This window comes from Homo sapiens, chromosome 4 (assembly GCF_000001405.40).
Source record: "Homo sapiens chromosome 4, GRCh38.p14 Primary Assembly".
In the NCBI taxonomy this organism is placed as follows: domain Eukaryota; kingdom Metazoa; phylum Chordata; class Mammalia; order Primates; family Hominidae; genus Homo; species Homo sapiens.
The window spans coordinates 7,924,806-7,944,746 of record NC_000004.12 but is presented as its reverse complement, the minus strand read 5'-3'; the positions used below and the strand labels follow the sequence as shown (position 1 = coordinate 7,944,746).

General features: G+C 48.3%; 1 protein-coding gene and 1 long non-coding RNA gene across 5 annotated transcripts in view, besides 2 other annotated features; one reads left to right on the top strand and one right to left on the bottom strand.

The window, feature by feature from the left end:
• Positions 1-4,450: 4,450 nt before the first annotated feature.
• On the bottom strand, positions 4,451-5,746 carry LOC389199 (uncharacterized). Its single transcript, NR_172651.1, has one exon. It is a non-coding gene; the product is annotated as an uncharacterized LOC389199 (long non-coding RNA).
• Positions 4,686-5,115: a silencer, noted in NCBI's record as "silent region_15254". NCBI's record gives its function as "represses an Ori minimal core promoter by ATAC-STARR-seq in GM12878 lymphoblastoid cells {active_cell/tissue: GM12878}" and the evidence as "EXISTENCE:reporter gene assay evidence [ECO:0000049][PMID:35858748]".
• Positions 4,886-19,941, top strand: part of AFAP1 (actin filament associated protein 1) — a 181,149-nt gene continuing 166,093 nt past the window's right edge. For 3 of the 4 annotated variants that reach the window (NM_001371091.1, NM_198595.3, NM_001134647.2), the window contains exon 1: positions 4,886-5,091. Coding sequence is in view for 1 of the 4 variants with exons in the window: in XM_006713909.4 (XP_006713972.1) it covers positions 6,095-6,155 (61 nt within the window). In the remaining 3 variants the exon portion in view is untranslated. Of the gene's footprint in view, positions 5,092-5,957; positions 6,156-19,941 lie in introns of those variants that run through there. The other variant, XM_006713909.4, reaches the window with a different exon arrangement.
• Positions 5,421-5,925: an enhancer, noted in NCBI's record as "H3K27ac hESC enhancer chr4:7940549-7941053 (GRCh37/hg19 assembly coordinates)". NCBI's record gives its function as "activates a minimal SCP1, AML or CMV promoter by ChIP-STARR-seq in primed H9 embryonic stem cells {active_cell/tissue: H9 hESC(primed)}" and the evidence as "EXISTENCE:reporter gene assay evidence [ECO:0000049][PMID:30033119]".

The window sequence follows — 19,941 nt, the reverse complement described above, 5'->3', positions numbered from 1 at the left end:
GGAGATGGCTGCACAATGGCCACTATAGCTGCAGATATCACACCCATGTTCATGATCATAATCCCTGCTGCTGAGAAAAAGACAGCGTCTGCTGTGTCTTTTCCTTTTCCAAGAGAGCAAAAACTTCCCTCAAAATCAGGGGTGTGCTGGTATTTTGGGGGAGAGGAGGGAGAGGGAAAGTCCTGATTTTTAACAGTTGCCAATTTCTTTATAAGTTCCCCTACTATGTCTGATTTCAAGCTACCACCATGACATTGCTGACTACGGCGTTGGAGAGAGAAGTCAGCAGCACACCATGATTTAGGATTTCCACCTACTGACGCGGGAGATGCAAATCTTTAAGAACATAGTAAGAGTAAAACAATCAGGAAATAATGCATTTTGATGATTTATTATCTTTGTTTTATATTTATATTTACATTTAATTATATAAAATTAATATATAATTTTATAAAATTAATATATATAATTATATAAATATCTAACATAGGCTGGGCACAGTGGCTTACACCTGTAATCCCAGCACTTTGGGAGGCCGAGGTGGGCAGATCACCTGAGGTCGGGCGCTTGAGACCAGCCTGACCAACATGGAGAAACCCCATCTCTACTAAAAATACAAAATTAGCCAGGTGTGGTGGTGCAAGCCTGTAATCCCAGCTACTGAAGAGACTGAGGCAGGAAAATCACTTGAACCTGGGAGGTGGAGGTTGTGGTGAGCCCAGATCACGTCATTGCACTCCAGCCTGGGCAACAAGAGTGAAACTTCATCTTGAAATAAATAAATAAATAAATAAATAAATAAAAATACATATTTATGTATAAATATATAATTATATACATAAATGTATATATTAATATATATTTATTATATATTTATTAATATATAAAATATGTTTATTTATTTCTGAGACAGGGTCTGGCTCTGTCACCCAGGTTGGAGTGCAGTGGCACTATCATAGCTCATTGGAGCCTTGAACAGATGGCTCAAGCGATCCTCCCACCTCAGCCTCCTGAGTGGCTAGGATTGCACGCACACACCACCACGCCTAGCTAATTTTAAAATTTTTTGTAGAGACAGCGTCTTCCTTTTTTGCCTAGGCTGGTCTTGAACTCCTGGGCTCAAGTGATCTTCCTGCCTCAGCCTTCCAATGTGTTGGGATTACATACGTGGGCCACTGCACCCGGTCTAATGCATTTTTTAATTTGCAAGTTTATATTATTTAATATTTTTAAGTACTGAATGTGTTGAACACCAACTCGCAGAATTCCCGAACAATGGACGGTCAGCTCTCATGTTCTGGTTCAAACAGCCCCAGCACACCACGGCTAGAAACCTGTCAGCCAACTTCCACTTATATCTCCCTGGGCAGGACAATGTTGCTTGGCCAATCCCCACTAAGAGGAACTCTGGAAAGGCAAGAAACTATTCTGTTCTCTATAATGGAACGTGACCAGGGAGAAGGCAGCTGGCAGGGCCAGTTGGGCCCTCCAACCAGCAGCATCCACCATCGACCAACTGCCCTAGAACTTCACTGTGCTGGGCATTTGGGGCACTGTTATGAGTAAGAGTTTTCATTTTTCTTCTCATGGGGCCTTCATGCAAGAGACAATTTTTTTTTTTTTTTGGAGACAAAGTTTTGTTCTTGTTACTCAGGCTGGAGTGCAATGGTGCAATCTTGGCTCACTGCAACCTCTGCCTCCTAGGTTCAAGTAATTCTCCTGCCTCGGCCTCTCGAGTAGCTGGGATTACAGGCATGCACCACCATGCCTAGCTAATTTTTGTATTTTTAGTAGAGATGGGGTTTCAACATGTTGGCCAGGCTGGTCTGGAACTCCTGAGCCACCATGCCCAGCCAAGAGGCAGATTTTAAATCAATAAGTATAGTTGTGATGAATGCCAGAAAGAAGAAAGTGTGTGATGGGGAGGGGACCTACGTTATTGTCTTATATTTTAACACTTTCATAGGCAATAACTAAAAACTTAGAAGCTTAAAACAACACACACATTTAACCCAGTTTTGGCAAGCGAGGAGTTGAGCACATTTTAGCAGGTCCTCTGCTTGGGGTCTCACGCTAAGGAGCTGGGCTACATCCTCATCTGAGGCTCAACCAGGGCAGAATCCATTTCCAGGTCCACTGAGGTTATTGGCAGAATTCATTTCCTTGGACCCGCTTGGCAAGGGCCCAGCTTTTTGCTTCCTTGCTTACGGGGCCCCTCCAAAGGTCCTTTCTCAGCATGGCATCTCCCTCCTGCAGGGCCTGCAGGTGGAACCTCTCTCTCTAGTGTGCAAAGGTGATGCACTGTGACAGTGACATCCATTGCTTTTGCCAGAGGCTCTGTGGGTTAGAAGCCAGTCACAGGTTCTGCTCATACCCAAGGTCAGGAAGATTATGCAAGGGCATAGGTCATCGGTCACTGGGGGGGTTAGTCACTTTAGGGTGTGGCTGCCACCACTGAACTTGGTGAGACTTTAAGGGTTGGTAGGAGCTGGCCAGGTACAGGGGTGAGGGTGTGTTAGGCAGCGGTGAGGGCATGGAGGGGGATGCAGAGGCCTGCACCCTGGAATGTCCTTTCACTCCCTGAGGTTGTGTTCTCCTGATCCCTGAGTACATCCCAGAACACAGTGGGGCCCTAGCTGGGGAGAGGTAGGGAAGCATGTGATGTTCATCGGGGGACCTTGTTAGGCAAATCAGATTAGGGGCCAGGCTTTCAGTGGTGGGTGCGAGTGTGCAAGTGAGTGAGTGTGCAGGTGTGTGTGGGAAGGGAGATGGGGATAGGGTCAGCCCCAGCCATCATCAAGACCTCACCTGTGCATCCACCCATCCCAGCAGCATCCCTGAGTGAGTGCCTTCAGGGCGCAGGTCCTGTTTTGCACATGGAAGTGAATCAGAGTGGGACACTGCCTTGCCTTAGAGAGGTCACACTTCTTTTTTTTTTTTTAACTTGTGATAGAGTCTCGCTCTGTTGCCCAGGCTGGAGTGCAGCGGCGTGACTTTGGCTCACTGCAACCTCCGCCTCCTAGGTTCAAGCAATTTTCCTGCCTCAGCCTCCTGGGTAGCTGGGATTATAGGCACGTGTTACCATGCCTGGCTAATTGTTGTATTTTAGTTTCACCATATTGGCCAGGCTGGTCCCAGACTCCTGGCCTCAAGTGATCTGCCCCCCTTGGCCTCCCAAAGTGCTGGGATTACAGGCGTGAGTCACTGCACTGGGCAAGAGGTCACACTTCATGCCAAGTGGGAGGCAGCCACTCAGACAGCACCCCAGCTGGCGCTGGGAGTGAGGGGTGCTCAGCGTCCTAGGAAGGCAGAGGGCTGCGTGAGAGGTTTGGGGAGGAAGGACTGGAGGAGGATTTGAGATTTTCACCTGAGCAGCTAGGTGGATGGAGGGGCTGTTTACTGAGAATCACAAGAATGTGGATGAGCAGGTTGGGGCACTGATAAAGCACTCTGTTTTGGCCCGCAGAAAATTTGAGATGCCTCCCTGGTGTCCAGCTAGGCCTTTGGGAGAGGTCAGGGCTGGGCATCTGACTTGGATGGATGTCTCTGGCAGGCAGCAGAGCATGTGGATGGTTTGTGAAGCCCAGAAGGGCATGAGATTTCCTGTAGCAGTGCCCACTGTGAATGGAAGGGCATTTGGCCTGAGCCCAGACATGTACAAGTTGGGCAGAGAAGGGGGTGGGTCCCTGGGACCCACAGAGGAGCAGCTATGGAGGTACAGAAAAACCAAGTGTGTGGGGGTCACATGATGCAGGAAGCTCAAATAAGATGAGGAAAGAGGTTTTAAAGATGATCAGGGTTGGGGACAGTAGTTCATGCCTGTAATCCCAACACTTTGAGAGGCTGAGATGAGACGATAGCTTGAGGCCAGGAGTTTGAGACCAGCCTGGGCAACATAGGGAGACCCCATTTCTAGAAATAAATAAATACATTGGTACTTGGCATTTCAGGTGGGGAACAGCAAACACGTGAAAGCTCTGAGGCAGGAAAGCGAAGTGATTAGTGCTTGCTTGCTCCTGGTTCCTTTATCAGGCCTTAAAGAGATGCAGAGACATCTCAGGTACTCCTTGGCCGAGCTCCTTCAGGGAGGGCCTAAGTTCGCTTCTACTTCACATCTTTAAAAAAAAATTTTTTTTTTGGAGACAGAGTCTCACTCTGTCGCCCAGGCTGGAGTGCACGCAGTGGCACGATCTCGGCTCACTGCAACCTCCACCTCCTGGGTTCAAGCGATTCTCCTGCCTCAGCCTCCCCAGTAGCTGGGACTACAGGTACGCGCCACCACAATCGGCAAAGTTTTTGTATTTTTAGTAGAGACGGGGTTTCATCTTGTTGGCCAGGCTGGTTTCGAACTCCTGACCTCAAGTGATCCACCTGCCTCGGCCTCCCAAAGTGCTGGGATTACAGGTGTGAGCCACCGTGCCCGGCCCTACTTCACTCCTAACGCCCGCCATACGTGCTTCCAAATGTTTGCTGAATGACTACAAGATGAACGAGTGAATGGGATTACGTTTCTTCGAGCGGCAGGCAATCCTATTCCTTGGACCTCAGTTTCCCTTTCTGTAAAGCAAGCCTTTCTCTCGCTCTCTGCCCTAAAAGCCTGAGCTCTGGGTTTGAGATGAGCGCGTCCTGTAGAGCCGACTCCAGGTAGACGTTGAGCTGGGTATTCTAGGAGGCGATGATCGGGCCGGCTCTTTGAGGCGGGTCCTCCCGCGGGACCCCGCAAGCCCAGTCCCAGCACCGCCCCGCCCAACCTCCCTTTGTTCCCTCAGGCCCCGCCCACTCCGCGCAGCTCGCTTCCCATTGGCCGGGGGGCGGGCCCTGGGCGCCCGGCTCCGCTGGGGGCGGGACGGCGGGCGGCGGGCGGGGCCGTGTGCGCCTGCGTGGTGTCTGTCCCGGCCGCAGCCCCACGCCGGCTGCAGCTCCGCGAGCCGAGCCGGATCTCGAGCGGGGTACACGGGCTGAGGCGGCGGCGGCGGCCCCGCCCCGGGGCTCCATTGTTAAGGCGGCTGCGGCTCTGTCGGCTGTTCAGCTGCGCTCCAGTCGGCCCAGGCGCCGCGGCGAGGAGCGAGCGCTGCGAGGTGGCGGCCTGAGGTGAGACGGCGCGACTGGCGGCAGGGTCTCCGGACCCGGCGGGGGTCTCTGCCCCGGGCGTGGAAGCTCCGAGCGGGGCTCCGCAGGGTCCGGGGTCCGTGCGCCTGGGCTTTGTCTCGGCCTCGGGTGGTACCGGGGGCTCCGCGCCTGCTGCGACGCCGCGTGGGCCCGCGCGGGGGTCCCGGTCGTCCTGCGGGTGGGGGCCGGTCCCCACTGCTCCCCAGCTCCCCGCGTCTGCCCGGAGGGGACTGCGTGGACCCGGGCGCTGGCTCCTGCCCGGTGCCCCCGCGGCGTGGCTGGTCCCCGTGTGCGTCAGAGGGGGCCCTGCGAAGACCCACTCGTGGGGCGGGGTCCGGGTCACCAAGAGTGGGAGGCTCCGCCGCCCTCCCCCGTAGCGAGACTGCTTCGTCCGACTTACCGAGGGGACTGCGCGGACCCTCGGACGAGGGGGTCCGTGACTCTGGATGGGGGCTCTTTCTTGGCCCCGCATGACGGCTTCCTGAGTGTTTTGTCACCTATAGGTTGTTGCGTGGACCCACGCGCGTGGGTCCCGGCCGCCCTGCGAGTGGGGCTCTGCGCCGCCCCGTGGCTCGTCTGGGTCGACCCCGCCTGGGACGCGAGTGTAATGGGGGTCCGTGCGCGGGGGGCGCGGTTGGTGGGGGCGCACTGCCCCGCCCCGTGATTTATCCTCTCACCTGCCCGGCGGGTGGAAGCGAGAGGCGCGGGCCCGGAGCTGTCGCGCAGCGGCCGCACCGTCCTCTCCCCTGGCCGGCGGGCCCCGGGGGGCGCGGGGCTGTCACCGCGCGTCCCACCGCCGCGCTTCCTGCTCTGGCCCCGGGCTGGGCTCTGATTGGAGGGAGCAGGGCCCTACTGCCCGGAGCTTCTTGATTTCTTCCGTTAGTAATGGGAAGAAAAAAAAAATCTGGAAAGCCAGATTGAACTTTGTAGCTCTCAGCGCCTGGAGAGTGGAAGAAACTCTCCCAAGAATTTGGCGGGCTGGAAAATGCGTTTCAAGCAGGAGCATCCACACCCACGGAATGAGGCCAAGGCAGTTACAGTTAGAGGTCAGATTTATGAGGGGAGAGCGAGGGTGAGGTCCGTGGGTGGGGAGACTCCGACCTCAGCTTGATGGGAAGACCTGATGCTGCCCCTCAGACGCTGTATTTCTCAGCCACCAAAGAAAGTGGAATCACTCCTTAGTGAATGCTTTCATCAAACTTTTGAAAAACCTGTTATGTCCCAGGAAGCAAAATCGAACTGGACAGTTTTCCCCTTTTAGGAGAGTTAAAGATCCCGGAGACAAACAGCAGAAGGCTCAAGGAGTCCAAATACCCAACCTGAAGTTCTTTCTGAACAAGAGATGGTGTTTAAGTAACAGGCATACAAGACAAAACTGAGCTAATTACCGCAGCTGTGGCTCCTAGCCCTCTAGCGTGTCATGCGGGCCCTTTTGCTTTCTCTGCCCTCCGCTGCCCCAGACCCCCACTCTACGCCGCACCTCCAGTCATCAGCTCATGCCGACCCATTGCTATGGACTCTGTTGAGGTGGCTCCCTTCTCTCTGAAGCTTTGCTTGTTCTCCTGAAGTCCTGGTCTTTAAGAGCTTATGATCTGCCAGGACAGATTGGCTTTGGGTAATACATGGTTAACTGTAGCACAGCTTGAAAAATGCTCTGATAGAGGTGGGCAGGCGCAGTTTGTGCATGCGGGTAAATGCGAGCTCCTTTTTCAATACCATGAATCCAAGTATTCATGCTATTTTAAATCTGCAATTCTTTGACTCTCCAGAGGGTTTTTAGATTAATCTTTTTCTATTACTTCCTAATGTTTGTTGCATAGTGCAGAGTACTTGATTAAAACTTAGCAGGTCGGCCGGGCGCGGTGGCTCACGCCTGTAATCCCAGAACTTTGGGAGGTCGAGGCAGGCGGATCATTTGAGGTCAGGAGTTCGAGACCAGCCTGGCCAACATGGTGAAACCCCGTCTCTACTAAAAATACAAAAATTAGCCGGGCATGGTGGTGGGTGCCTGTAATCGCAGCTACTCATGAGGCTGAGGCAGGAGAATAGCTTGAACCCAGGAGGCGGAGGTTGCAGTGAGTTGAAATAACTCCACTGCACTCCAGCCTGGGCGATAGAGTAAGACTTCGTCTCAAAATAAAAACAGAAACAATGTACTGGGTCTACGTCCGGCTCTGGAATTTTCCTGGAAGGCCTTCTCTTCTGGGCTTCATTTTTCTCACCTTTGAGGATCGTAAACTACATAATTTCTAAGAATCTTTTCAGCCCTACACCTTTAATTCTTTCAAGCAAATATAGTAGAGAAAAATTCTCTTACCAGCAATGGTGTAAATAACGGAAGCCTTTGAAAATGTGGATTCTAAAGTGGAAGTTTCTTTTCTTCTTCCCCTTTTTTTCCTTTTAAACAAGTTGAGTTACATGTGTATATACTTTATCTCAGAGTTAAGGACAAGTATCTATGATGAAACCTTAAGCAACTTTTTGGCAATATCTTTCATATTCTTCATAATTGTTTTATGTGCAACATCTTCACTATATCCAATTGGTTTGTTTTTTTCTCATTAATGGAGTTGTTGAGCTCAGATCTTTTTTTCAGGAGCATTTTGTTGATCTTTTAAGTGTCATGTGAAGTATGTTTCAACCTAACATTTTATTTTGGAGAGTAAAATGGGAGTAAATGGAATTTTGAGAGTGCCTTGAGTAGATGTACTTGGCTTTGTGTAATGGTTTGAAGCCTAGTTTAAAATTACCACTTGTGGCCAGGTGTGGTGGCTCACGCCTGTAATCCCAACACTTTGGGAGGCCGAGGCAGGCAGATCACGAGGTTAGAAGATGGAGACCATCCTGGCTAACACGGTGAAACCCTATCTCCACTAAAAATACAAAAAGTTAGCCGGGTGTGGTGGCACATGCCTGTTGTCCCAGCTACTCGGGAAGCTGAGGCAGGAGAATTACTTGAACCTGGGAGGCAGAGATTGCAGTGAGCCGATATTGTACCACTGCACTCCAGCCTGGGTGACAGAGTGAGACTCCATCTCAAAAAAAAAAAAAAAAATTACCGCTTGTAAAAAATTGCATCACATGTTGAATGACCTATAGAGGAGCTATAGTTCTAAGGAATATGGTAATTAATTCTTTCAAACAGTAAGGCCAGGTGCTGTGGTTTACACCTGTAATGCCAGCACTTTGGGAGACTGAGGTAGGAGGATCACTTGAGCCCAAGATTAGAGACTGCAGTGAGCTATAATCATGCTACTGCACTCCAGTCTGGGTGACGGAGTGAAACCCTTTCTGTAAAAAATAAAAAGGTAAATAAATAGTTTAAAAATAAAATATTAAGCTCCTTTCCAATTTATCTGTTTGGTAAGGTGGGAATTGGATGTGCCTGAGTTTGTTAAAGCCACGTGTCTCTGTAGAAAGGAGACACAATTTTCTCTGCTATTCCTAGTTATTTGGATGATTATAGGGATTAAAAATAGCCATTTGGTCAAGTCGTGAGCTACTGAATTACAATTTTTGCTTCACTCAGTAGGATTTTGCCTGTATTTTGATTTGCATTCTTAATTTAGGAAAAGTTCTTTGTTATATGCTCCATGTACTTTGTTCTTTTGGGGAATGTGATCTTAGGAGAGGGCTTCAAAACGCGACCAGATTTTCTTTATGGTTTTCTAGATTTTATTAATGTTTTAATAAAACTTAACTAGTTAATTCTGCTTCTGTGTCGAGGTGTTTTTCATTTACAGCAGGCTTGATTTTTATGTGGATTAAATGAAAGGGAGGGGATGCATGGGTATGGAGAACACAGAGGATATATTTTTGAGCTCTGCATTTCAGAGTTCTTTTCTCTAGCCCTGGCCGGGGTCCCAAACAGGGAACTTAATTCGCTCTATCACTGAAGTATACCCTTGCTTTGATGCCATTGGTATTGTATCCTAGAGATTTGCTGTGGCTGCTAGGAGTGTTTCATAGTAAGGACTGATGCGACTTCTCTTTTGTCAGCTTATGAGTCTGTAAGCCATCTTGTTCCCTTTAGTATTATCTGCCTGGAACTGGAAGGTCAGAGATGAAGTTTTCTTAGATTATAAGTCTCAAGTCTTTGCTGTCTACCTTCCTCTCTCTCCCATGTCACCTGCTGTTTTATTTTCTGTTTTTCATTTTAATGTTTTTATTGTATAGGTGTCTATTATTTCAGGCTACCTCAAAACAGTTTTGGATATTGACAGGATATAAGTATGAATAAAATGTGAAAGATAACTTTAGTTCTTTTTAGCAGAGGACTGGAATTCGATATGTGGCCCTACTAAAGCTTTTGTTAAGTCCAAGTACTTTTCTGAACTTCAGTTCCCTTACCTGTAAAATGGAGTTAATTGCTAGTAACACCTGTTCTGCCTAACTCAGGAGATTGTTTTGAGGATCAAATGAAATCATGAATGTAATGGAATTTTGTAAATTTTAAATAAAATATTGTATTACCTAAGATTTAAAAAAAAACCCATTAAGAATGGAATGAATCTGAGTTTTCCTTTGAAATCCCAAATGTTTAATGTACAGAGAAGTCTTAATGTGTCTGTTGGGGAGCTTGATTAGGGTTTTTTCTATCTTTAATTGGCCAGTATTGTTTTATATTTTAGCATTTTTGGGGAACATCAAATTTGTGTTTCAGTTATCATTAATATTTTGCAAAGGTATTGAATGTGCATGATTTAGTCTTTAACAATCTCTTCAATTATTTACATTCCCGTGTAAAAAATGAAGTAATGAATGTCCACGTAAATAGCATTCCCATGCTTTAGCGAAGCGTAATTTCTTGACATTGCAGTTTCTAAGTGCCCTGTCTTGAGGCTGGGAAAACTAAAGGGCAGTCAGAGGTCAAGGTCAGCAAAGCATCACATTTTGACATTTGAAATCCAGCAGCAGCATCACAGTGAACCCCAGTCCAGCACCCAGGAAGTTTCTCTGCACCTGCCTCTCCTCCAGCCACCTCAGAAGCTGTGTGTGCGGTGTCGGGCCTGCTTTCCTCTCTCTCCTCTGCCTTTTCTTTCTCGTCACCAACTTCTCCTGAGTGCCCCTGATATCCCAGACAGTGGTAGTGGGAGTACAAAGGCTAATAAACCCGGCCCTGGTCCTCGAAGAATTTATGTTTTCTGTGCACATACTAAGTTATACTGTCATATATAGTGTTGACAAACACGGATACAGATTTCCTGTGAAGTGCAGGGGCACCGTTCTAGAAGCAGAGATGCAGAAGTGGGACTCGTGACTCACACGTGGAGAGCTGGAGTTCGTGGTCCAGTGGGAAAAACCGACCTGGACATCATTTCAGTGCAGCAGAGTGAGTGCTGGGTTGGGCTCCCTCGGGGCATCTGGAGCCGGGTTAGTCTGGTGTTTAGTCTTCTGTGTGGTACTTAGAGCTTATCAGTAAGACAAGCATTGGGAGGTTTCTAAGTGAAAGGAAAGGCAATCACTTACCTGAAACCTAAAATTTGTAGGTGTTCTGGGCCATTTATAATTCACTGTATCTGTTCTGTCAGAACAAGTCTATCATCTGTTGTTTTGGATGGAGTGTGGCCAGCCCTGCCTTTGGATGTAAGGAAATCAGGAAACGCTTGTCAGATGTCAACACCGTGCCAGACACTCCGCTAGGGATTTCCACGTAAATCACTATATTCATTTCTGTTGCTGCTTTAACACATTTCCACAAATTTAGTGGCTTAAAATAATTGAAATTGTATCATCTCACAGTTCTGTGGGGTAGAAGTCTGACGTGGGTGTCACTGGGCAAAAATCACCATGTGGGCTGGGCTGCATTCCTCACTGGAGAATTGTTTCCAAGCACTTTTGGCCAAATATAGTTCCTTGTGGTTGCAGGACTGAGGTGTCCCCTTGCTGGCCATCTGTTGGGGGCTGTCCTCAGCTCCTGAGGCCTCTATCTGGTCTTTGCATGTGGTCCCATCAGCTCAGGACTAGCTAGGCCAGGGACCTGGTCAGGCCCTCCAATTCCCCTGGGCGCATTTCTCTTCTTCACTCAGAGAAAGTTCTATACCCTTTTTTTAAATATTTTTTTTGAGACGGAGTCTCGCACTGTTGCCCAGGCTGGAGTGCAGTGGTGTGATCACAGCTCACTGCAACGTCTGCCTCTGGGGTTCAAGTGATTCTCCTGCCTCAGCCTCCTGAGTAGCTGGGATTACAGGTGCTTGCCACTGTGCCCGACTAATTTTTGTATTTTTAGTAGAGATGGGGTTTCACCATGTTGGCCAGGATGGTCTCGATCTCTTGACCTCGTGATCGGCCCAACTTGGCCTCCCAAAGTGCTGTGATTACAGGCGTGAGCCACCGTGCTCGGCCAGTTCTGTGCTCTTAAAGGCTCATGGGATTAGATTGGACCTCCCTGGTTAGCCCAGGATACTCTTCCTAAGGCCTGTGGCAAAGCCCTTTGGCCATGCCGTGTGACGTAGTCACAGGTCTCGGGGGTTAGAATCTCCCACCGCGGTTACCAATCCACTTACTACAGCAGCCTGGGAGGTGGTTTTCAATGCCTCTGGTTAACAGATACCAATTTTTTTTTGCAAATCGTCAGGAACGTGAAGATCCCCCCCCTTTTTTTTTTTTTTTTTTTTTGAGAGGGAGTCTCACTCTGTTGCCCAGGCTGGAGTGCAGTGGCGCGATCTCGGCTCACCACAACTTCCACCTCCCAGGTTCAAGGGATTCTCCTGCCTCAGCCTCCTGAGTAGCTGGGACTACAGGCACGTGCCACCAAGCCTGGCTAATTTTTGTATTTTTTGTAGAGACAGGGTTTCACTGTGTTGGCGAGGCTGGTCAAAAACTCCTGACCTTATGATCTGCCGGCCTTGGCCTTCCAAAATGCTGGAATTACAGGCGTGAGCCACTGCCATGAAGATCCTTCTTAAATGGAAAATCTGTTCCTCTGACTTGATGTGAGGCTGTTGGTGAGGTTTATAGCAGTGGAGACAGGTCCTTCAGAAATGGAGCTAAACTTTGTGTTTTGGAGTATTTTGATGGCCTGCCCTGATTACATAAGTTTTGCTAAGAAGTCATTAGAGTAATTCCTCTATTGGAAGAAACACCCATATGGGGAATTTGGGACCTTGCCTTTTCAAGTTTTACACAAAGAACTCTTCATGGGGTGAAAAGTACATGATTCCAGGTCCATTTCTAGAATGGAAACAGCTGAATCAACCCAACAGCGATTCACATTCCTGAGTTTTAGAGAATCTGATTGTTTCAAGGCTGAAGCAAAAAGCCCAATAAACAATGTTTGTACCTTTATTAATAGTTAGGAATTAGGTGCATCCTGTGGTCAAGAAAACAACTGATGGTGGTCACCAAGTAGTTTAAAACCAAGCAGGACCTCGTTTTATCATGTGGGTGTTTTTGATTTTTTTTTATGAAGTTTTTTTTCCTGTGCAATAAATGACAAGCTCTGACTTGAAATACATTTCCTTTAAGAAACCAGAATCTAGGGCCAGGCGTGGTGGCTCACACCTGTAATCCAAGACTTTGGGAGGCCTAGGAGGGTGGATCACGAGGTCAGGAGATCGAGACCATCCTGGTTATGGTGAAACCCCATCTCTACTAAAAAATACAAAAAATTAGCCGGGCATGGTGGCGGGTGCCTGTAGTCCCAGCTACTCAGGAGGCTGAGGCAGGAGAATGGCGTGGACCCTGGAGGTGGAGCTTGCAGTGAGCCAAGATCGCGCCACTGCACTCCAGCCTGGGCGACAAAGTGAGACTCCGTCTCAAAAAAAAGAAAAAGAAACCAGAATCTATAATCCTAAGGTTTTTAACCTGGCTTTCAGAAATTTATGAACTCCTCAAAATCCTGTGCAAAAATTTTGTGTATATGCATCCATGTGTGTTTATGGGGAGATGATTTATAGCTCTCCATACATTTTCAAAGTGGTTGCATTCCAGAAAATTTTAGAACACACCACTTGGTCCTGGTGTGGTGGCTCACACCCGTAATCCCAGCACTTAGGGAGGCTGAGGCAGTAGGATCCACTGAGGTCAGCAGTTCAAGACCATCCTAGGCAACATAGCGAGACCTCCACCTCTACCAAAAAAAAAAAAAAATGCTGGGCGTGGTGGTGCACACCTGTGATTCTAGCTACTCAGGAGGTTGATCACCTGATCCCAATAATTTGAGGCTGCAGTAAGCTACAATTGCACCACAGCACTCCAGCCTGAGCAACAGAGCAAGACCCTCTCTCTGAAAAACAAAAACAAAAAACCATATCACTTAATATACTATTCTTGTTGGTCAAGTATCAGATTTTGTTTAAAAATTAAATACTCATTTTTAGCAAAGGTGTACAGGCATACAGTTCTAAGAGTCAGAAATTAACAAGGCTTAGAACAAAACCCAGCAATTCCCTACCTTACCCTTTTCCACCCTGATCCCTGTTCCTTGGAGGTTACTGCGTTTATGTTTTAGCTCATTCTTCTAGATTGTGTGAAAGACAGGGAGATGTCCTGTGGAAGACAAGGACTCAGGTGGCTTACCCTCCCCGCTCCTCCTGTTGCCCACGTTTTTCTCCCCTATCCTCTCAGTATAATTATTGTGATAGTGAGGCCAGGCACGGTAGCTCATGACTTATCCCAGATTTTTGGGAGGCCGAGGCAGGCAGATCACTTGAGGCCAGGAGTTGGAGGCCAGCCTGGCCAACACAGTGAAACCTCGTCTCTACTAAAAAATACAAAAATTAGTCGGTTGTAGTGTTGCACACCTGTAGTCTCAGCTACTCAGGAGGGTGAGGCACAAGAATTGCTTGAACCTGGGAGGTGGAGGTTGCAGTGAGCTGAGATTGCACCACTGCACTCCAGCCTGGGCAACAGAGGTAGACTCTGTCTCAAAAAAAATTATTGTGATAGTGGGATACATAGTACAATAGTGTATATATTTAGTATTCATCCTGGTTTTTGGCCCAGAGCTTCTAAAACCCTTGTAATTTCCTGATAGGAACATCATTGGTTATAATATTTGGTCTTAGGTTTCAATTCCTGACACAAGAGCTTCTAAGACTTTTGGAATCTCTGGAGTGATAGGAGTGTCTTTTGTATGATAATGAGATGACAGGTGGCTTTGGGCCCCTAGACAGGTTCAGGATTAGGGCTGGTTGCCAGAAAGACCGAGGTATGATTAAAGAGTTGGACATACCAGCCCTACCCCTACCTCCGGGGAGGGGAGACGAGATGGGCTGGAGATTGAGCTAGCCACCGGTGGCCAATGAGAGATTGAGCTAGCCACCGGTGGCCAATGACTTAATCATGTCTATGTTATGAAAACTCCATAAAACCCTCTAAATATTGGGTTTGGAGAGCTTCTGGTTTGGCGAACTCATTTGGTGCTGGGGAGGTGGCACTCCCAGGGGCATGGGAGCCCCGACCTCCCTGCCCCGTGGTGTGCCCTGTGCGTCTCTTGCATTTGGCTGTTCCCGTGTTCTATTCTTTGTAATAAACCATAAGAGTAAGTAAGTGCCAAGCACTTTGTGTGTCACCTCTCTTACTTTTTCAGCAACACTGTGTGGCAGATAATGTCCTCATTTTGCCGGTGACAAAATGAGATTGATGCATTGAGTAACTTGCTCAAGGTCACATAATAAGAATTCAAGCTCTGACTCCGAAGCCTGTGCTTTTAACCAGCATGCTGCATACATGGCCTCTTTATTTGTTAGGATTTTTGGTGTGTCTAGGTCCTGACACCAAGTTGACCGTTGTGGCCTGAAGCTATTATAACGGTCCTGCTGAGAACAGAGCCGGCACCTCCGGATTGGCAGGGCAGGGGCTGTTCCTGCTGTGAGTTGCAGGCCACTCCCTGTAGCCCTTGGCTGATCTTCCTCATCCACTCCCTCCCTCATTCAGTAGTTCCTGAGTGCCGCCTCTGTGTGGTGAAGAAGGCAGCATTCCAGCCCAGGTGGGGCCTGCAGGTACACACAGGAAGAGGCAGCTGTGCACTGAGCTGACTGTAGGCTGGGACAGTGTGGCTCCAGAGGTGCAGATAGAATACCGTGGGAGTGCAGAGGGAGCACATGCTTCTGGAAGGGAGGAAGGGGGGCAGGCATCACAGAGGAGGTGTATTTGAGTTGGACTTTGAGGGAGGAGTTGGATTTCCACAGTGGAACCGAGCAGCTGAGGCTTTTTCAGCAGCTGAAGATTACAGCCAGCCAGCCCCAAATGTTCAGCTTTTCCTGAATTCTCTTTGTTTTTTAGGACAGTGCAGTAAATTTTCAACAGAGGAAAAGCAGTCACCTCCATGTCATTAATGTTCTGCAAATTCTGTGTGTAGTTTTTGATGCTTGGCAGATGGGGGCAGCCTGGGCCATAAAAGAAGAGCCTGTGTGTCCACCTGTTTGGACATCAGTCAGCTGTGGCACAGGGCAGTGATCACTGCCTGCTCCTGAGGAACTCAGTTGTACTTTTATGTGGAGAGGACAAAGAAAGCTGTTGTACAGGGGGCAGGAGACATTTCATCTGCAAAGCAAGGCACAAAATACTTAGTCTGTGCCCTGCATGAGAAATGTAGCAGAACTGTGTGCTGATTCCCACCCCTGCCTCCTCTCCTGAGAGCAAACCATCCTTGGTACCACGGTGGAAGGCATTTCCGAAGCCTCTGCGATCGGAGTGATCTGTTACTTGCCCATTGAGCCTTAGGGGCAGCAACCAGGTGCTGTGGCTGAAACACAGGCCTTGGCCACACCTGGCTGGGCATGCTGGCTCTGCCACTGACTGTGAATTACAGAACCTTGGAGAAGTCATTGTCTTTCTCTGTGCCCCTCATGTAAGATGGGGAACACCGCGGCCATTGCAGGAGGGCAGACAGGTGGGACGAGTATGAAGTGCTTTGTATGTGTGTGGCATATGGTGAATGAAATGGCACTGATTGACATTATTGATAGTAATAACAGGTTTAATTCAGGAATAAAACTGGTAAAGTAGGCCAGGCGTGGTGGCTCACGCCTGTAATCCCAGCACTTTGGGAGGCCAAGGTGGGCGAATCATGAGGTCAGGAGTTTGAGACCAGCCTGGCCAATATGGTGAAACCCCATCTTTACTAAAAACACAAAAATTAGCTGGGTGTGGTGGTGCGTGCCTGTAGTCCCAGCTACTTGGGAGGCTGAAGCAGGAGAATCGCTTGAACCCGGGAGGCGGAGGTTGCAGTGAGCCGAGATGGCGTCACTGCACTCCAGCCTGGGCGACAGAGAGAGAGACTGTCTCAAAAAAAACCAAAAAAACAAAACCTAGTAAAGTATTTTACCCAGCCTGGGTACGTGTGGTAGAGCTGAATGAAAGAGCTTAGAAAAAGATGACTTGAGAACTAGCTCAGCGGAGGAATCAGGTGGGATTTGTTGTTGTTGAGTAAGTGAAATTTGCACCTGCTTTCTCCCAGGCCTCATTGAGTTGTGTAAAATAGAGAGCTCAGGTGGCTGTGCTGGAGTGGGGTTGGGGCAGTTTACATTTAGCCAAAGGCACCGGTTGAAGAATGCATTGCTATTACGTGAGGAACACTGGGCTTTGAAGCAGAACTGGGTCCATGTTCTTGCCTAGTAACTCTAACTACCATCTAGTTTGTAAAGGGACTGAAAATTCTTATCATGATTGGGGTATCTGCATTGGTTTGTATAGTATAGATCATACGAAAGAGCATTTAGGCCGGAGGGAGGCTTTTCATCTCTATGACTTGACTTTCACAGAACAATTCCATCATGATTTGAAGATTTTTGAGCCAAAATTACATTGTTCTGCTATGTGTTTGGGGCAACTTTATACATACACATTGGCTTAAATATTTCAGATGATACAAGAATATATGTGTGGGGTAAAAAGCTGAAATTTTTATCCCCCCTTCTCTAGAAGTAACCATTCTGCATAGTTAAGTCTGTATTCCAGCTATTTTGTATATTATAAATACACTGTGAATATATGAGTGTATATATACATATATGTTACACAAACAAATTTTTAGAGATGGAATATTGCTGTGTTGCCCACACTGGTCTTAAACTCCTGGGCTCAAGTGATCCTCCTGCCTCGGCCTCCCAAAGTTTTGGAATTACAGGCGTGAGCCACCGCGCCTGGCCTGTGTGAGTGTATTTACTAATTGCTAAGTTACTGTGTTCAATACGTGTCCGTTGAACTCCTCCATGTGCCGGGCATTGTTCTGAATGCCTTATATGCACTAATTCACTTAATTTTTAGAGCAGCTCTATTATTGTGATCCTTTTACAGCGAAGAAACTGAACCACAGAGAGGCTGGGGACGTTGTCCAACATCACACAGCCAGTGCTGTTGGAATTGAGGTTTGAACCCGGACAGCTGGCTTCGGAGCTCTTAGCTGTTATCATAGATGGCACACCCAAACCTTAGGGCTGCCTCCCAAGCCTTGCGTCTGATATGGGCTCACCTGAGCTCTGCTAGAGCTGTGTATGTGAGGTTTCTTTCCCCTTTAAGAACACAAGTCTTGGAATTGTCCCAAACCCTGGTAGGACCTCTTGAGGACCAAAAACAGGGATTCTTCAAGCCTGCCCCAAGGCCACATCTCTGATTTAGCTACTTGGAAGGTAGACGTGGAAGGGAGTCATTTTGCCAGGACAAAAGGTCAGGATGCCTGAGCTGACTCAGCACTTTGGGAGGCCGAGGCAGGTGGATCACCTGAGGTCGGGAGTTTGAGACCAGCCTGGCCAACAAGTTGAAACCCCTTCTCTACTAAAAATGCAAAAATTAGCTGGGCATGGTGGCGGGGGCCTGTAATCCCAGGTACTTGGGAGGCTGAGGCGGGAGAATCGCTTGAACCAGGAGGCGGAGGTTGCAGTGAGCTAATAGTGCGCTGCTGCACTCCAGCTTGGGCGACACAGGGAGACTCCGTATCAAAAAATAAAAAGAAAGAAGGGGAAGGGGAATGGCTGGGCTGACTCATTCTAGGGAAGAGGCCCTACAGCAGCCATAGGACCTTGGCCACTTGGGTGGAAAAGGAGGAAGAGCTTCACCCATGGCAGTGTCCTGGACTGCAGAAACTACACTCTAAATAGTCCACGTCCTGGAACCTGGCCTCCCCATTTGCTTCTCTCCTCCTTGGGTAGAGGGTGTGGGGAACTTTCTACCCTGGAGGCTGAGCAGTGCGTCTTCTAACCACGGTAGGCATTTGTCCGTCCCTGGGAATACAAACAGTATTCTCATAACCAGCCCTAATACTCCTGAACAGCTTTTTGTAGGATGGGGTGGGGCAGGGCAGAGGTTCATTTTGACTCATAGGTACCTTTTCCACTTTTACTGCTGATAACTGCGTTACGGATTAAAGTTTTGTTTTTGATGCTGAAGAGGGCTTAAGAGAGTTAGATATTATGGCACATGTAAGTCTGCTAAAATAGAACTGTGGGGTAGTGTAGGAGAATCTCCTCTTAATTATGGATCATATATTGTGAGCATTAGAAGCCATGTGTACCTAAGTTGAAAAATCAAAACATATCTTGTATTTGGGTGACCCCGGTAAGTCAGGATACCACTGCGCCTTGTGTGAACACAGGATGCTAAGGTGTAGGGATCAACAGCCTTTTTCTCGACATTTTGCGCTTCTCCCTCGGGGTAAAGTGGGGCGGCAGTAGGAACTCACAGCTGTTGGGCAGCTAATATTTGTCAGCTATTTTACATGTGGGATTCCATTTAATGCAATCTTGGAGGTAAAATTATTTTATTAAAGATGAAGATAGAGGCTTAGAGAAGTTAAGAAAATTGTTCAAGTTCACATCATTGCTTTCTTTCTTTCTTTCTTTTTTTTTTTGAGACAGAGTTTCGCTCTTATTGCCTAGGCTGGAGTGCATGGGCACGATCTCCACTCACCATAACCTCTGCTTCCCAGGTTCAAGCGATTCTCCTGCCTCAGCCTGCCAAGTAGCTGGGATTACAGGCATGCGCCACCATGCCTGGCTAATTTTGTATTTTTAGTAGGGACGGAGTTTTCCTTGTTGGTCAGGCTGGTCTTGAACTCCCAACCTCAGGTAATCCGCCTGACTCGGCCACCCAAAGTGCTGGGATTACAGGCGTGAGCCACCACGCCTAGCTAATTTTGTATTTTTAGTAAGAATGGGGTTTTTCCTTGTTGGTCAGGCTGGTCTTGAACTCCCAACCTCAGGTAATCCACCTGACTCGGCCTCCCAAAGTGCTGGGATTACAGGTGTGAGCCACCATGCCCAGCCAAGGCCACGTAATTGCTAAAGTGGAAAGATGAAGTACTGGATGAACTCAGAAGTTTGACTTCAAGGCCCTTGATCTTTCCATAACATGTGGTTCCTTCCCTGGTTGGTGGGGAGTGACTGAAGAACTCAAGGAAGCCGCGTTTTGTGGAAAGAGGACCTGAGGGGTATATGGTCTCTCCAGGCTTGGAATCTGCCACGCTGGGCTTCTGAATTCTATAGCTTGGTCATACAGAGAGAAGCCCCTCATTTAAGACTTATTCTTTGGGGGAAATAAAGGAAGGCCGACCCTATGAGGACAGGCAGAGTTGACTTTCTCAGAGCTGCTGTGGCAAGGGAGTCGGTGTCGTCACTTGCATGTGGCAGAGACTCACATGCAAGTGAGTGGCAGATGAGGAGTGGGGAAGCTTCAGGATGGAAAAGAACGGCTCCCGGTGGAGGCTGTTGTGGGGGCTGGAGGTGGCTCTGCAGAAGTGGGGTGTCCTATGTGATTGGTTAGGGGCGTATTTGGCTTTCTCTGAATGATCCTAACTGGGAAACAGGGGCCAAAATTAGGGTGGCTGTTGGTTTTGAGTCAAGTCCTGGCCACGTGGGACAGAGTTGTCATTTAGCTTTCTGGGTTGTCGAG